This window comes from Homo sapiens, chromosome 20, assembly GCF_000001405.40.
Source record: "Homo sapiens chromosome 20, GRCh38.p14 Primary Assembly".
NCBI classification, from domain to species: Eukaryota; Metazoa; Chordata; class Mammalia; order Primates; family Hominidae; genus Homo; species Homo sapiens.
The window spans coordinates 58,674,674-58,688,442 of NC_000020.11; the positions used below are offsets into that span (position 1 = coordinate 58,674,674).

At 44.6% G+C, this 13,769-nt stretch overlaps 1 protein-coding gene and 1 long non-coding RNA gene across 9 annotated transcripts in view, besides 2 other annotated features; both read left to right on the top strand.

The window, feature by feature from the left end:
• Positions 1–4,853, top strand: part of STX16 (syntaxin 16) — a 28,244-nt gene extending 23,391 nt beyond the window's left edge. For all 8 annotated transcript variants that reach the window (NR_037941.2, NR_037943.2, NR_037942.2 and 5 more), the window contains one exon: positions 1,514–4,853. Coding sequence is in view for 5 of the 8 variants with exons in the window: in NM_001001433.3 (NP_001001433.1) it covers positions 1,514–1,618 (105 nt within the window). In the remaining 3 variants the exon portion in view is untranslated. The remainder of the gene's footprint in view (positions 1–1,513) is intronic.
• STX16-NPEPL1 (STX16-NPEPL1 readthrough (NMD candidate)) overlaps positions 1–13,769 on the top strand; it is a 64,592-nt gene that overhangs the window by 23,421 nt on the left and 27,402 nt on the right. The window lies entirely within an intron of this gene.
• Positions 1,154–1,679: an enhancer, noted in NCBI's record as "H3K4me1 hESC enhancer chr20:57250883-57251408 (GRCh37/hg19 assembly coordinates)". NCBI's record gives its function as "activates a minimal SCP1, AML or CMV promoter by ChIP-STARR-seq in naive H9 embryonic stem cells {active_cell/tissue: H9 hESC(naive)}" and the evidence as "EXISTENCE:reporter gene assay evidence [ECO:0000049][PMID:30033119]".
• Positions 1,680–2,204: an enhancer, noted in NCBI's record as "H3K4me1 hESC enhancer chr20:57251409-57251933 (GRCh37/hg19 assembly coordinates)". NCBI's record gives its function as "activates a minimal SCP1, AML or CMV promoter by ChIP-STARR-seq in naive H9 embryonic stem cells {active_cell/tissue: H9 hESC(naive)}" and the evidence as "EXISTENCE:reporter gene assay evidence [ECO:0000049][PMID:30033119]".

Sequence of the window (13,769 nt, forward strand, 5' to 3'; positions counted from 1 at the left end):
AGACTCCAGCCTGTGGTGGGAAGAGAAGTCTGACCTTGTCTATGCAGGGTTTTTTTAAGCATTTAGATTAATTTGGTTGCCAAGCCCTGTCTATTAAAAGTGAAAACTAACTTAAGTTTCTCACTCTGTAATACCCAGGTTTTGATGTGCTGCTGAATTATGCATTGGTTTTGAAGTTTCTTAAATAAAAACTAGTGAAATATGTTTTGTAATATAACACAGATAAAAGGAAAAGCTTTCTCTGCGGGAGTGAGCAAATCTAGTGGGAACTAAAAATTTTGTTTTAGGTTCTACTTTATAAATCATTTTGAGAGGTTTTACAGTATATTATTTAGTATTGGCTTCCCTGGTGTTCTGGGTTACTTATTAGAAAAGTCAGCGTGCTCCATCTTCCCTCCAGCCACAAGGCTGTAGGCAGCACGCGCGTGCTCGGCAGTCGGCTAGTCTAAGGGTGATTGAGCGTCGGGAGCTGCTCCCCATGACCGGACTCTCGGTGCTGTCCCCGTGCCTGATGTTTCCTCCTGGTGGATGAGGGGCTCCTCCAGGTGGGCGGGCAGGCTCACTTAGGAAACAAGCCCACCGCGGGGGATGGAGCAGGAGAGATTGCCATTCTCGCCAGGGCTGCCTTCCCGCTGTCTCCTCCTCCCTCCTGTGCCATAGCAAGGTCTGGAAGAGGCAGCGCATGCTCTCCCTGGACGTGCCTCCCGGCGCCCTCTGAACTCTGCTGTCCTCTGGCTCTCCTTTCTCAGTGCTCTGCGTCTTTCGCCAGCCAGGTGGGGCCCTTTGGCATTTCTCTAGCAGGCATGATGGAGTTCCCGCTCCTGCCGAGCTTCCAGGATGCGGTGTTAAGGTGAAGAGATGTGCAGGGTGCAGCCTCGTCCCCAGATTGAGCTTGGAGGGCTCCTTTGCTGTATCGTTAGCGGCACTGGGAGGACGCGCCTCAGAGGGATCTTTCTGCATATGACATCCATGGGGCACACGTGTCTGTTTTTATTTCAAAGGATGAGTTTTTGTTTCCAAATTTAGGGGAGGTCGAAATGGGGCCTCTTCCGGGTGTCTGTTGCCTACCTGCCAGGTACGGTCCTCCAGCCCGTTGTTTCCTTCCGCGGTGAAGGAACTGTGCATTCGCTCCAGGAACACGGACCGGGAACAGGCGACCCGTGCTGCAGGGGCACTTGCCACGGCCTGCAGGAGGAAAAGCCGGGAGAAGCAGGCCCAGCTGCACCCGGAAGCATGAGCTTTCACTTCCCTGTCAGGCTTTGTCTTAGTAGTAGGTTTCCAACAAATCCATTTCCACGTCCAGGGTAAATAAGCAGCACCAGGATCATGGGGCTCTTCCACTCCTGGTGATTGAATTCCGTGGGATTGATTGGAGGGATTACAATCATGTAGCCTGTAGCAGAGACCTCAGTCACTGTGCAGAGAGATCTGGAAGCCTCATTCTGGAAACGAGTGGGACTTGATTTGGGATTTTGGGGAAAATGACGGCCTTTTTTCCCTCCTCTTTTTGTAGGCAGAACAGTATCAAAAGAAGAATCGGAAGATGCTTGTGATTTTAATATTATTTGTCATCATCATTGTGCTCATTGTTGTCCTCGTTGGCGTGAAGTCTCGATAAGTGGCATTGGGTTTTCGTGTGTGCCGCGCGTGTGGATCTCCCGGGTGTGAGGGGCTTGGCCTGCGCCCCGCCAGCTGCCCGCAGAGGTGCAGCCTCGAGGAATCTGAGGGCGTCGGGGCAGCGAACCTTTGCATCCACGGACTCCTCCTTCCCTAGTCCTGCTCAAGCGGTCCGGGGAATGGGTTTTTGTTTTTCCTTCATTGTTGAGAATTTAAGGACCTTTGATACTGCTGCACAATAGAGATTGAGTTCTGGGATCAGTTATAATATATATTTTTTTTAGAAAGAGAAAATGAGCTGAGAGTTTACAGGCACTGCAGAAGCTGTTCAGTATTATATGTGTATATGCTATTTTTTTAGCAGCCATGTCTGAGCAGAATGTTAACATAATTTTTGGAAAAATTTTCTTTAAACCATCTGGTTTTTAAGAAATTTGGTACCAAAAATTGATGAGTAGAGGCAAAAATGCCCCTTCATCTTTCTCTATATATTTTCCAGTTGAAAACAAACTAAGAAGTCCTTTAAGAATTTATAATCCGTTCCCCATTAACTTAATTTAGCTTTTCCATCACTGTTAATGATCAGAGTAACAAAGTGTGAAAAATAAGAAACCATCATTGATGTTAATTAACACATTTAGATGGGCCAGTTAAAACAGCTTCATAAGTTTTAAATTAATTGTAAATGGAATATTCCTCATTTAAAATTTTTGCACTGCATTTTCTACTGTAAACCAAAAGAGGTTACTAAGCAAAACCACCTAAATTTAAGTTGGTGATTTAAATGAATCTCACATTAAAAGAAAGCTTGACAGTGTTATGAAAGCCACCAGACTCAGCCAGTGTGTCCCCATGGGTATCCCCAGCCATCCTTGCTCAATCCATTACTTATATACTAACTACATAATGACCTGTTCAAACCAGACTCTATTTAATGAACTGTGAATTTACACAGAGGCCATTTTAAATGGGTCACCCCATTTAGGATTAGTGGATCTCAAATTATTAACCAAACATCACTCCATTTCAAAGTAAAATATTCCACCAGCGATTTGATTTATTGGCTCTTCCATTGCCACTGAGCAATGCCCAGGAAGCAGGCACATTGCCAAGGACTGGGGGCATCTTGACTAGGAAGCTCCTCGTTTGTGTGAGCGTGGGTCAGACCGCCAAAGTAGGACTTCATCGTTTACCTACCTATTATCAATATGGTGCTTGAATATATTCCTATAACTGTAGAACAGTGTGGAAAGTGATGGTAACTTTGAAGTTGTTCATGTTTTATTGGCTTTGTTTTAATTGACACTAGTAGAGTTTTAATGGTCTTTGTGTAAATTTTAATGGCTTTTCCATTGTTTTTGCTTCTCTTAAAAAGTTTAAGAAGAATATGACCTCATTAAATGTGCTGTTTTATTTGGACCAGTCACACAAAATGTCTCTCTAGAGTTGACTTTAAAGTTGTTTACAGAAATTTAAACTCAATTCCAGAGATTGAAGTTGTCCAAACAGCTCATGGGCTTAGTGTCCAAACCCCTGCCCAGCCTTCCCTTTCCAAGTTGGTGCCACCTCCAGGTAGCCATTGGTGGTTTTCCTATTACTGATGTGGCTGTGGAATGATAAGGTCCTAGAGGGGCCCTGGCATTTCAGGAAGCGGACCTGGTATTCCCTGACAAACATTGCTTAGGAAAGAGGGCCGGAGAATAAGAAGCCAGCACCTCATCAGTCAGCCCTGCAATGTGAGACTTCCGTAGCTGTTGAGAGTCACTGCAGGTGTTCTTTCATCCCATCTGATTTTAACCCATGGTTGAGACGTTCCAAGTTAGATCTGCTGCTCTTAGGTGTGGGGCTGTCCACATTAGGGAACTTGCCTCAAAAACAGTCCACAGTGGCAATACCGGACTTCTGTTCAAGCTTTTTAAAGTGCTGAGCCTTACAAACCCCTGAAGGAAAGTGACCCTTTAAGAGAGGATCATCTTTTTTTATATTTATTTTCACCAAATAGGGTGATGAGGGTTGGTTTTTGTTCCCTCAACCCATTTGGGTAAAATAACGGATCTGATTAGAAACTGTTTTAAGGAGGGGCTGGGCTCGGTGGCTCACGCCTGTAATCCCAGACTTTGAGAGGCCAAGGCGGTCACGAGGTCAGGAGTTCGAGACCAGCCTAGCCAACATGGTGAAACCCCGTCTCTACAAAAAATACAAAAATTAGCCGGGTGGGACACGCCTGTAATCCCAGCTACTCAAGAGGCTGAGGCAGGAGAATAGCTTGAACCCGGGAGGCAGAGGTTGCAGTGAGCCGAGATCACACCACTGCACTCCAGCCTGGGTGACAGAGCGAGGCTCCGTCTCAAAAAAAAAAAAAAAAAATTGTTTTAGCGCTGGGTTTCCCAAGGTGGGAGAGACAGACCCAGCCTGGAGCTGGCCCCTGGCCTGTGTGCTGACTTCTTGGGGTCCTCAAACCACTGTATTTTTCTGTTGAGCCTGTACTTGGGGAGAGATCAGTAGCATTTGAGGAAGTAAGAGAAAAGAATCATGGTACCTCAGGGTTTCTTTCCCTTTACTCGCTGGCAGCCATTGTCTGTGGGCACCTCATGTTTTTCCACACTCTACTGGGCCGTGGAGGTAACGATCACCCAGGCCAGTCTCCTCTGCCTGGGATGCGCCCTCTGAGAGGAGGCCTAGCAGGGCAGGCTCCCTCTGGGCATCCCTGGATGCAGCCTCTGGACACATGCCTCCTTTAAAGTGTCCGGGTGCAGCTCAGGTTGAGTGGAGGTAGAAGGAGAAACAGACATGTTTACCACGCGTTTTCCAAAGCTCCTGATCTTTCCCAAGATTGTAACTGAAAACTGCTGTCTCTTGTTTTGTTCGTTTTGGGGGTGGTGGTGCTGGCTGGGCCATGCTTGTGAAGTGATGTGTGTCTCTGATTTAACGGATTCACTGTTTTCTCTGCTAATTGAGAGAGCGTTATTTACATTATTTATTTGTTTTGACACAAGTGCTTTCAGTGTTTTATCCTAGCTAATGGCTTCTTAAAGGTAATAAAACCCTTCCAACGTAATTGGTCAGATAAAACTTTTTTTCTTGTATGCTTAAATAAAGCAATTAGTGAAGCACTTCTATCCAAAATGACTTTTTTGTCCTTTTTTAAAACCAATTTACTGTTACTGGAAACTTTTTGTACAATAAAGCAATCACGCAGATTAAAGAACATCCTGCAATCCTAGTATTAATTTTAACAATGGGTTCATGTTTTCTTCCAGTGCATTTGTGTTAGGGGAGGGCTTGGCCAGTTTTGTGATCCTCTGGGCCCCTGACTCTGTTTTGTGCCTGAGGCCTTTGCCTCAGTGTCCGAAAGTAGATCTATCTAATGGATGCTTTCAAAGGGACAATCTATTTACTATCTGATATACAAAAAGAACAACTGCCTAAAAGGCAGATAAGTATTTTTCTTATGAAAATATATGCTTTATATACATACCAAGAAACATTTGGAAATCTCCAAATAAAACTGTGATGTGCCTTGTTGAGAAGCAATTCTTACACACAGGCTGTAAGAGACTTGACTTTCTAAATGATTTTGTTTCCTACTCTGTTACACCAAAAACTTGAGAGACAAGTGTCTGCCAGTTTAACTCAAAGCCAAGACTATGTTTCCCCTTGATTGTGCCTGTCCTGGGGTCCTCCGAGGAGGACCTTTGTCCTGAAACTTGACTTTGATGCATTTGTTTTGCTGGTGGGAGATGTGGACCTGAGTGATGGTAGGGGTATGTGGTTTCATCACCAGAACCTATACAAACAAAAAATAGCAGCTGTCATGCCAGGTCTCTTTGGCACCCTTGGCGTTTGGTCCTGAGGTGTTGCGGCGACTCAACAGCAGAACCCTTCAGAGCCTGTCAACAAACCACACAAAAGAAACAACCTCCTCCTCTTGCACTCTCACCGTGTTTTTTGTTAAGAAATTACATTTCCCCAACTCGCATGTTGGCCACTGGCTCTGTCCAAGAATCAAATCCACTCTCGAGGGAGAGACGTTTGCCATAGGGTTCAAGAATATTCTGACCGGCAATGCTATTTAATAACATTGAAGAAATCCTCCATCCCGAAGGGGACCACATAAAGGCGGCAACACCTCTTTGGTGACCTCTTGGGTTATGTTCTCAGCTGAGTCTTTGGTGGCCCAGTCTTGAACCAGCACTACAAGAGTATGCAGACGCAGTCTGCAGAAGCATTGCTGTCAGTGGAGAGCTGCAGGATGCCACCAATGACTTGGAGGCATGACTTGCCAAGAGGCCTGGAAGTGGGGAGCCACTGGGGTGTCCCTTTGAATGCTCACTTTGACAGCAGGTAAACAGGCTGGATATGGATTTCCTCTGTGAAATTTAGCAACCATCCTATAAGAAGTCTGATCCTGATCCAACGTTTGAGCAATCTAGAATCCTTCCTGGTCCGTCTGCCATAGTTACGTAGCCACAACAAAATTTACCTAGCCTAGCACCATTTCTATCTAAATCTAATAGGATAGCATGTCATTCTACATGGGGCCTTAATTGTGATCAGCATCCCTTACTCTAGTCAAGCCATGTGGGACCATGTGGAGAGATCTTTTCACAGAAGGGATGTCCCTAGTTGGGTGTAGAGAAGACAGCTCATCACAAAGACTTCCTGCTTCTCTGTGGTTCTAATTCATCGATTAGTTATGGTAAGTTTCCATTCCTTCTAAGATTTAGGTAGGCAGGCCTGGTTCATCCAACATGAACTACATTTCAGAACCTAGCACTGTGCATGCACATAAATGCATGCCTAGAATTGTATATCTTGGCGTATATTAGCTCTTAAAAACTAATTTTCTTGGCCGGGTGCAGTGGCTCATGCCTATAATCCCAGCACTTTGGGAGGCCAAGGCAGGTGGATCGCTTGAGGTCAGGAGTTTGAGACCAGCCTGGCCAACATAGTGAAACCCCGTCTCTACTAAAATATAAAAATTAGCTGGGTGTGGTGGCACACGCCTGTAAACCCAGCTACCAGGGAGGCTGAGGCAGGAGAATTGCTTGAACCCAGGAGGCAGAGGTTGCAGTAAGCCGAGATTGTGCCACTGCACTCTAGCCTGGGCAACAGAGCGAGACTCCGTCTAAAAAAAAAAAAAAGCCGGGCGTGGTGGCTCACACCTGTAATCCCAGCACTTTGGGAGGCCGAGGCAGGCAGATCACGAGGTCAGGAGATCAAGCCATCCTGGCTAATGCGGTGAAATCCCATCTCTACTAAAAATACAAAAAATTAGCAGGCCGTTATGGCAGGCACCTGTAGTCCCAGCTGCTCGGGAGGCTGAGGCAGGAGAATGGCGTGAACCCTGGAGGCGGAGCTTGCAGTGAGCCAAGATTGCACCACTGCACTCCAGCCTGGGCAACAGAGCAAGACTCCGTCTCAAAAAAAAAAAAAACACTAATTTTCTTGACCACCCAGATGCCACTTCTAACCTTGCTGCCTGATGGTTTTAATTCTGTTTTGAAAACAACCTCCTCCCAAGTGATGGGTATTAGAAGGAACTAATGAGAACCCTGGGTGCAAGCAGAGACTTTTAGCACGTATGAAAGTGCTTCTGATTTAGGACTCGGAGTTAGATGGTGGGTGTCAGCTGCGTGTGTCTTGTCCCCAACTCCATGCCACCCTCGGGCAGACGTCATGGTACCAGTCTATGGCCAGGCTTTCTTACTACACAAAGAGACATTCCATGGAGTCAAATGGCAGAGACTTGTGTACAATTATCTGGTCAGTTGAGGCAAAAGAAAATAATCATTTGTCCAATTGTCCAAATTAGCTCTGTGGATTGTCCTGAATGCTCGGGGTAACTGTGTGGTTCTCCACTTCAGTTCCGTAACCTGGCTAAGATGGACCATTTAAATGAGGCTCCATTCAACACAATGCACATTTAAATGAGGCTCAGTTGCAAGAGACCACTGGGCTTAGCGTTTTCAATTTGTCAACTATAATTCTATAATTGCTTTTAGCTAATCATCCAAATGATTACATGTTGTAATGGAGGCAGAAGACCCTCGTATGCATCATTTGGTCTCTTTTTCTCAGAGGAAGTGCTGAAGGATCAAATGTTTTGTGTGTCTCTGTGTGTGTGTGTGTGTGTGTGTGTCCGTGTTTTAACTTGGTGTTCTGACGCACAACACCATAATAGACCTCCATTTTCATCAACGGTGGGGGAATGAGAACAACGCCCCCCATCCCAACATCCCCCTTTTCCAGAGGGGGAAACTGAGACCCAAGTTTCCCTCTTGCCAAGGCCACAGGACTAGAACTAGAATCGTCAGTTTTCTGATTTCCAGATCAGGACTATTTCTGCTTATGCCATTTTAATTTTTCATTTCTTTCCATAAAATTAAATGACCTTCTTCAAGAAAGATTTAATGGTCAAGATGCGATTTGGTAAAAAGCTTCCTCAAGGATTTTTTTCTTATTACAAAGATGAGACTGGCTGAGGCTGAGAGATTTGCAAGCAGTGGTATGTCATTATCCCCAGCTCAGTTTTTTGTGTAATTGGTGTGAAGAGATTGCTGCTGATGAATCAGCCTGCTGCTCAACAGAAAATAATGATTCTTTTGTGACGTGAGTCAGTGTACGTACGTGTACGTTTGTGGTTGTTTATGAAAGGTATGTGTGTACATAAAATGCTTATCAAGATGGATAATGTCATTTTAAAGTGGTAAATAATAAAAAATAGTCCTGAGCAAAACTGATTTTACAATTGCCTGAGAATGCAGCACTTCATTTTAACACTATGCAATGGCTAGAAATTGATTTTTTTTTTTTAAATCCAATTAAGCCTCAAGGTTGGTTATCCATTTAAAAGGTCGGATGAGTTAAACAATGACAGTACCTTCAGTTCGTGCTAATAAATTTGCACAGAACTTCAGCACTTACATCGTGTGCCTCACAGAGGCATACATTTTGTATGTGCACAACACTGAACTACCAAAGTCCCAGCAGTGGTACAGATACACCAGCAGACCCTGGACCCCAACTGGGGGAGTCCCTGAGCTGACCGCCGGCCCTATCACCTCTTCCACTTAGATCCCCGAAGCACCCCCCACCCCAGAGTGCTGAGTCCTTCCATCTACCTGGCCCCCTTTTCTGTGGCCCCAAGAGCACTGGGAGATGAAAAGTTGCCTCTCATTTAAAAGGGGGGAAAAAGATGTATTCACTACTTGGTTTTGTGTGCTGCTGAGTTTATAATGTAACAAATAAATCCTGTTTTAAAAATAGTACTTTATAGTGTGTATTTACTGTGTATTCATAGTGCATTAAGAAAAAGACTTCGGCCGGGCACAGTGGCTCATGCCTGTAATCCCAGCACTTTGGGAGGCAGAGGCAGGCGGATCACGAGGTCAGGAGATCGAGACCATCCTGGCTAACGTGGTGAAACCCTGTCTCTACTAAAAATACAAAAAATTAGCCAGGCATGGTGGCGGGCGCCTGTAGTCCCAGCTACTAAGGAGGCTGAGGCAGGAGAATGGCGTGAACCAGGGAGGTGGAGATTGCAACACTGCACTCCAGCCTGGGCGACAGAGCCAGACTCCGTCTCCAAAAAAAAAAAAAAAAAAAAAAAGAAAAGAAAGAAAAAGACTTCGGCTGGGTGCAATGGCTCACACCTGTAATCCCAGCACTTTGGGAGGCTGAGATGGGCAGATCACCTGAGGTCAGGAGTTCGAGACCAGCCTTCCCAACATGGTGAAACCCCATCCCTACTAAAAATACACGCCCGGCTAATTTTTGTATTTTTAGTAGAGATGGAGTTTCACCATGTTGGTCAGGCTAATTTTGAACTCCTGACCTCAGGTGATCCACCAGCCTCGGCCTCCCAAAGTGCTGGGATTACAGGCGTGAGCCACCACGCCAGGTCAATTCTTTTTACTTTTTAAAAGATCTACATTCAGATACTACAGATAGATGTATAATAAACACAAGGGTGTTTCTGGAAAAAAGGTGACTCAGGTTTTTGAAGATTGAATCATTTTCAATGCTCTAGAGAAACATACTATTTAAAAGGATCCTATAAGTGAAGGTTTTCCTAACAAAAGATTCCTTGATCAAAATAAACATTTAGCTCCTAATTTTGCTTTTCTATAAGTCTCCATTTTCTTGTACTGAGTTTGCTTAAAGGAATGCGGAACCCCATTTGGTCTGTTAATTATTTCTCTTTTCCTTCTCGCAGCCTCCCTATCCAAAGGCTCCAGGTCTTCAACATGTCCTTGAAAACTTTTGCAACTACAAAAATAATTTTGCTGGTGTTCAGAAGTAAATAGAGTTTAGTTCCTGAGACATGAAGGTTATTGCTGTATTACACTGTGCCCTTCCTGGGAGGATAATTTAGGCTGCTAGAATGGCAAGGGACCTCGGAGAGCAACTAGTTCAGCCCGCTCATTTTTTTTTTCTTTCTTTCTTTTTGAGATGGAGTCTTGCTCTGTCGTCCAGGCTGGAGTGCAATGGCATGATCTCGGCTCACTGCAACCTCCGTCCCCCAGGTTCAAGCGATTCTCCTGCCCCAACCTCCCAAGTAGCTGGGACTACAGGCATGTGCCACCATGCCTGGCTTTTCGTATTTGTAGTAGAGACAGGGTTTCTCTGTGTTGGTCAGGCTGGTTTTGAACTTCCGACCTCAGGTGATCTGCCCGCTTCAGCCTCCCAAAGTGCTGGGATTACAGGCGTGAGCCACCATGCCTGGCCCCAGCCCCCTCATTTTATCGAGAGGTCCTAAAAACTGATGCTAGAAGAGACGTTTTTTGTTGTTAATAAATGATTCTGCTGGTACATTTTTATTAACACATTCTCTCATCCCACTGATCCCAGAAAGTATAGACACAGTACATGCAGATGAGGCTACCAAATGTGCTTGTCAAGCAAAGTGCAAAAGATGGCATGTAGTATGCTACCTTTTGTTTAAGATCCATGAATAATCTTATTTTTTTCAAATAGAATCATGAAAGATAAAAGCTAATACAAATGGTTACCTATGGGGGTAAAAAAAGGTTACCTGTGGGGGTAAAAAATGCTACCTATGAAGGATGACTGAGAAAAGGGGGGAAGGGCAGGATGGGGAGATCTTTGAACATTTCCTTTTTATAGGTGTGACTTGAATGATACAAAATGTTATACGTCGTCAAAAAAGAAAATGTAGAAAAAAGGAAAATGGCAAACCTTTCTGTGAAGCACAGATTTATGAACCTAAATGTACATCAAATCAGTAAGCTGCACAAAAATCAAGTATATGTGGAATATATCCCTGGAATATACTCTTAGGAACAAAAAGTTAAAACATCTTGAACTCTGTGTTGTGGGTTTGTTGTCGGGAGCGGAGGCTATTGGTGAGTGTTGTGGGAAACAGAGTGAGAAACCCTAGGAGGGGCTGGGAACCAGGGTCCTCACTGTGGCAGAGGGAGATGCGATTATGGAAGATGGGCAGGTGAGGAAAAGCCCTGTCACGTGGATTTGAATGGGAGGAATCAGTATCAACTCATGATGTTAAAGAAAACCTGATCTTAACAGATCCAAGAGGACCAGGAGCAATGACGCCCAAGTGGCAGGGAGCATGCCCAGCACAAGAGCTTGGTCTCTAACTCTGAAGCTGTTGGCTCTAACCAACCATTCCCCTCACTGAATGGAGCTAGGGTTTCTCGGAGAAATGGCTGACTCTGGATTTGGGTCAAGGAAGGAACAAAGTGAGCCTGTGATCATCTTACTGTTCCAGGAAGGACAAAGTCCTTGAAAATGGATAAGAACACATCAAAAAGGAGCCTGCCTGATGCAGCTCTCATTGGCCTAAGTGGGGACACTTGGGAGCAGTGACGTTTGATGAGATGCACACACGTATGGGCTGTGGCAGGGCTGGCTTCAAGGATGTGCAGCCACCATAGCCACATGGGCCCTGTGCCTAGTTTAGTGCTCAGCTGTTGCCATCTTGAAATTGCTTTTTGAAAGAGAGGCGCTGCGTTTTCGTTTTGCACTGGACTCCACAAATCATGCTGCCAGCCCTGGGGAGGGGGAGGTCTTTGCTGAAGAACACCAGGTAGTAAGTGTAGAAGGGAGGATAGAGCTGGAAAGTCACTCAACCAATACTTGATTCAGGCAGAAATCATCACTGGATACCAAAGACATTCAGGAATAGATGGTTGAGACCCAGACGGTTCTTAGTCTCAAAGTGTCACTCCATGGATTCTAAAGAGGAAATTATAATTCAATTAATTATAAAAGGGGGAAATGCACTTTTACCATGAAGAGATCTGGCAGACCCCACTTGCCCAATGATGGGGGACACTTAGTTTATGTGCCTCCTGATGAGGTTCGATGGGAACCATAACCCGTATTTTTGCCAAAAACGTTCAACCCAAATCTAAGAAAACAGACGAATCCAGATGGTGAGAGCTTCTGTAGGATATACCAGTGCATGAAAGACAAGGGTAAGGACTGTTCTGGATTAAAGGAGGCCAGAGAGGCTTCACAGCCAAACGCAATGCCTTATTTGGATTCTGGATTTAAAAAGAAAAAGCCATGAAGGACAAGGGGACGATTAAAGTTTCATTGCAGACTGTATACTGGATAATAGTATTGTTTCAATGTTAAATTTCATGGGTATGATCAGCATATGATCATGATTATGTTGGCTGGTGTCCTTGTTCTTTTTTTTTTTTTTTATACTTTAAGTTTTAGGGTACATGCGCACATTGTGCAGGTTAGTTACATATGTATACATGTGCCATGCTGGTGCGCTGCACCCACTAACTCGTCATCTAGCATTAGGTATATCTCCCAATGCTATCCCTCCCCCCTCCCGCCACCCCACAACCGTCCCCAGAGTGTGATATTCCCCTTCCTGTGTCCGTGTGATCTCATTGTTCAATTCCCACCTATGAGTGAGAATATGCGGTGTTTGGTTTTTTGTTCTTGCGATAGTTTACTGAGAATGATGATTTCCAATTTCATCCATGTCCCTACAAAGGACATGAACTCATCATTTTTTATGGCTGCATAGTATTCCATGGTGTATATGTGCCACATTTTCTTAATCCAGTCTATCATTGTTGGACATTTGGGTTGGTTCCAAGTCTTTGCTATTGTGAATAATGGCGCCATAAACATACGTGTGCATGTGTCTTTATAGCAGCATGATTTATAGTCCTTTGGGTATATACCCAGTAATGGGATGGCTGGGTCAAATGGTATTTCCAGTTCCAGATCCCTGAGGAATCGCCACACTGACTTCCACAATGGTTGAACTAGTTTACAGTCCCACCAACAGTGTAAAAGTGTTCCTATTTCTCCACATCCTCTCCAGCACCTGTTGTTTCCTGACTTTTTAATGATTGCCATTCTAACTGGTGTGAGATGGTATCTCATTGTGGTTTTGATTTGCATTTCTCTGATGGCCAGTGATGATGAGCATTTTTTCATGCGTTTTTTGGCTGCATAAATGTCTTCTTTTGAGAAGTGTCTGTTCATGTCCTTCACCCACTTTTTGATGGGGTTGTTTGTTTTTTTCTTGTAAATTTGTTTGAGTTCATTGTAGATTCTGGATATTAGCCCTTTGTCGGATGAGTAGGTTGCGAAAATTTTCTCCCATTTTGTAGGTTGCCTGTTCACTCTGATGGTAGTTTAATTCCTTTTTTTTTTTTTTTTTTTTTTCTGAGATGGAGTTTCACTCCTGTTGCCCAGGCTGGAGTGCAATGGCGCAATCTCGGCTCACTGCAACCTGCGCCTCCCAGGTTCAAGCGATTCTTCTGTCTCAGCCTCCCGAGTAGCTGGGATTACAGGTGCATGCCACCACGCCTGGCTGATTTTTGTGTTTTTAGTAGAGACGGGTTTTTGCCATGTTGGCCAGGCTGGTCTTGAACTCCTGACCTCAGGAGATCTGCCCGTCTTGGCCTCCCAAAGTGCTGGGATTACAGGCGTGAGCCACCACGCCCGGCTGGTGTCCTTGTTCTTAAGAGATACACAATGAGGTAGGGGTGTATACAACTTACTTTAAATGGTACAGGGAAAAATATGTGTACATACATACATATACATATACACATATACATATACATATATACATACACACACATACACATATACGCATGTTTGTGTATATAGAGGCATACCTCACTTTACTG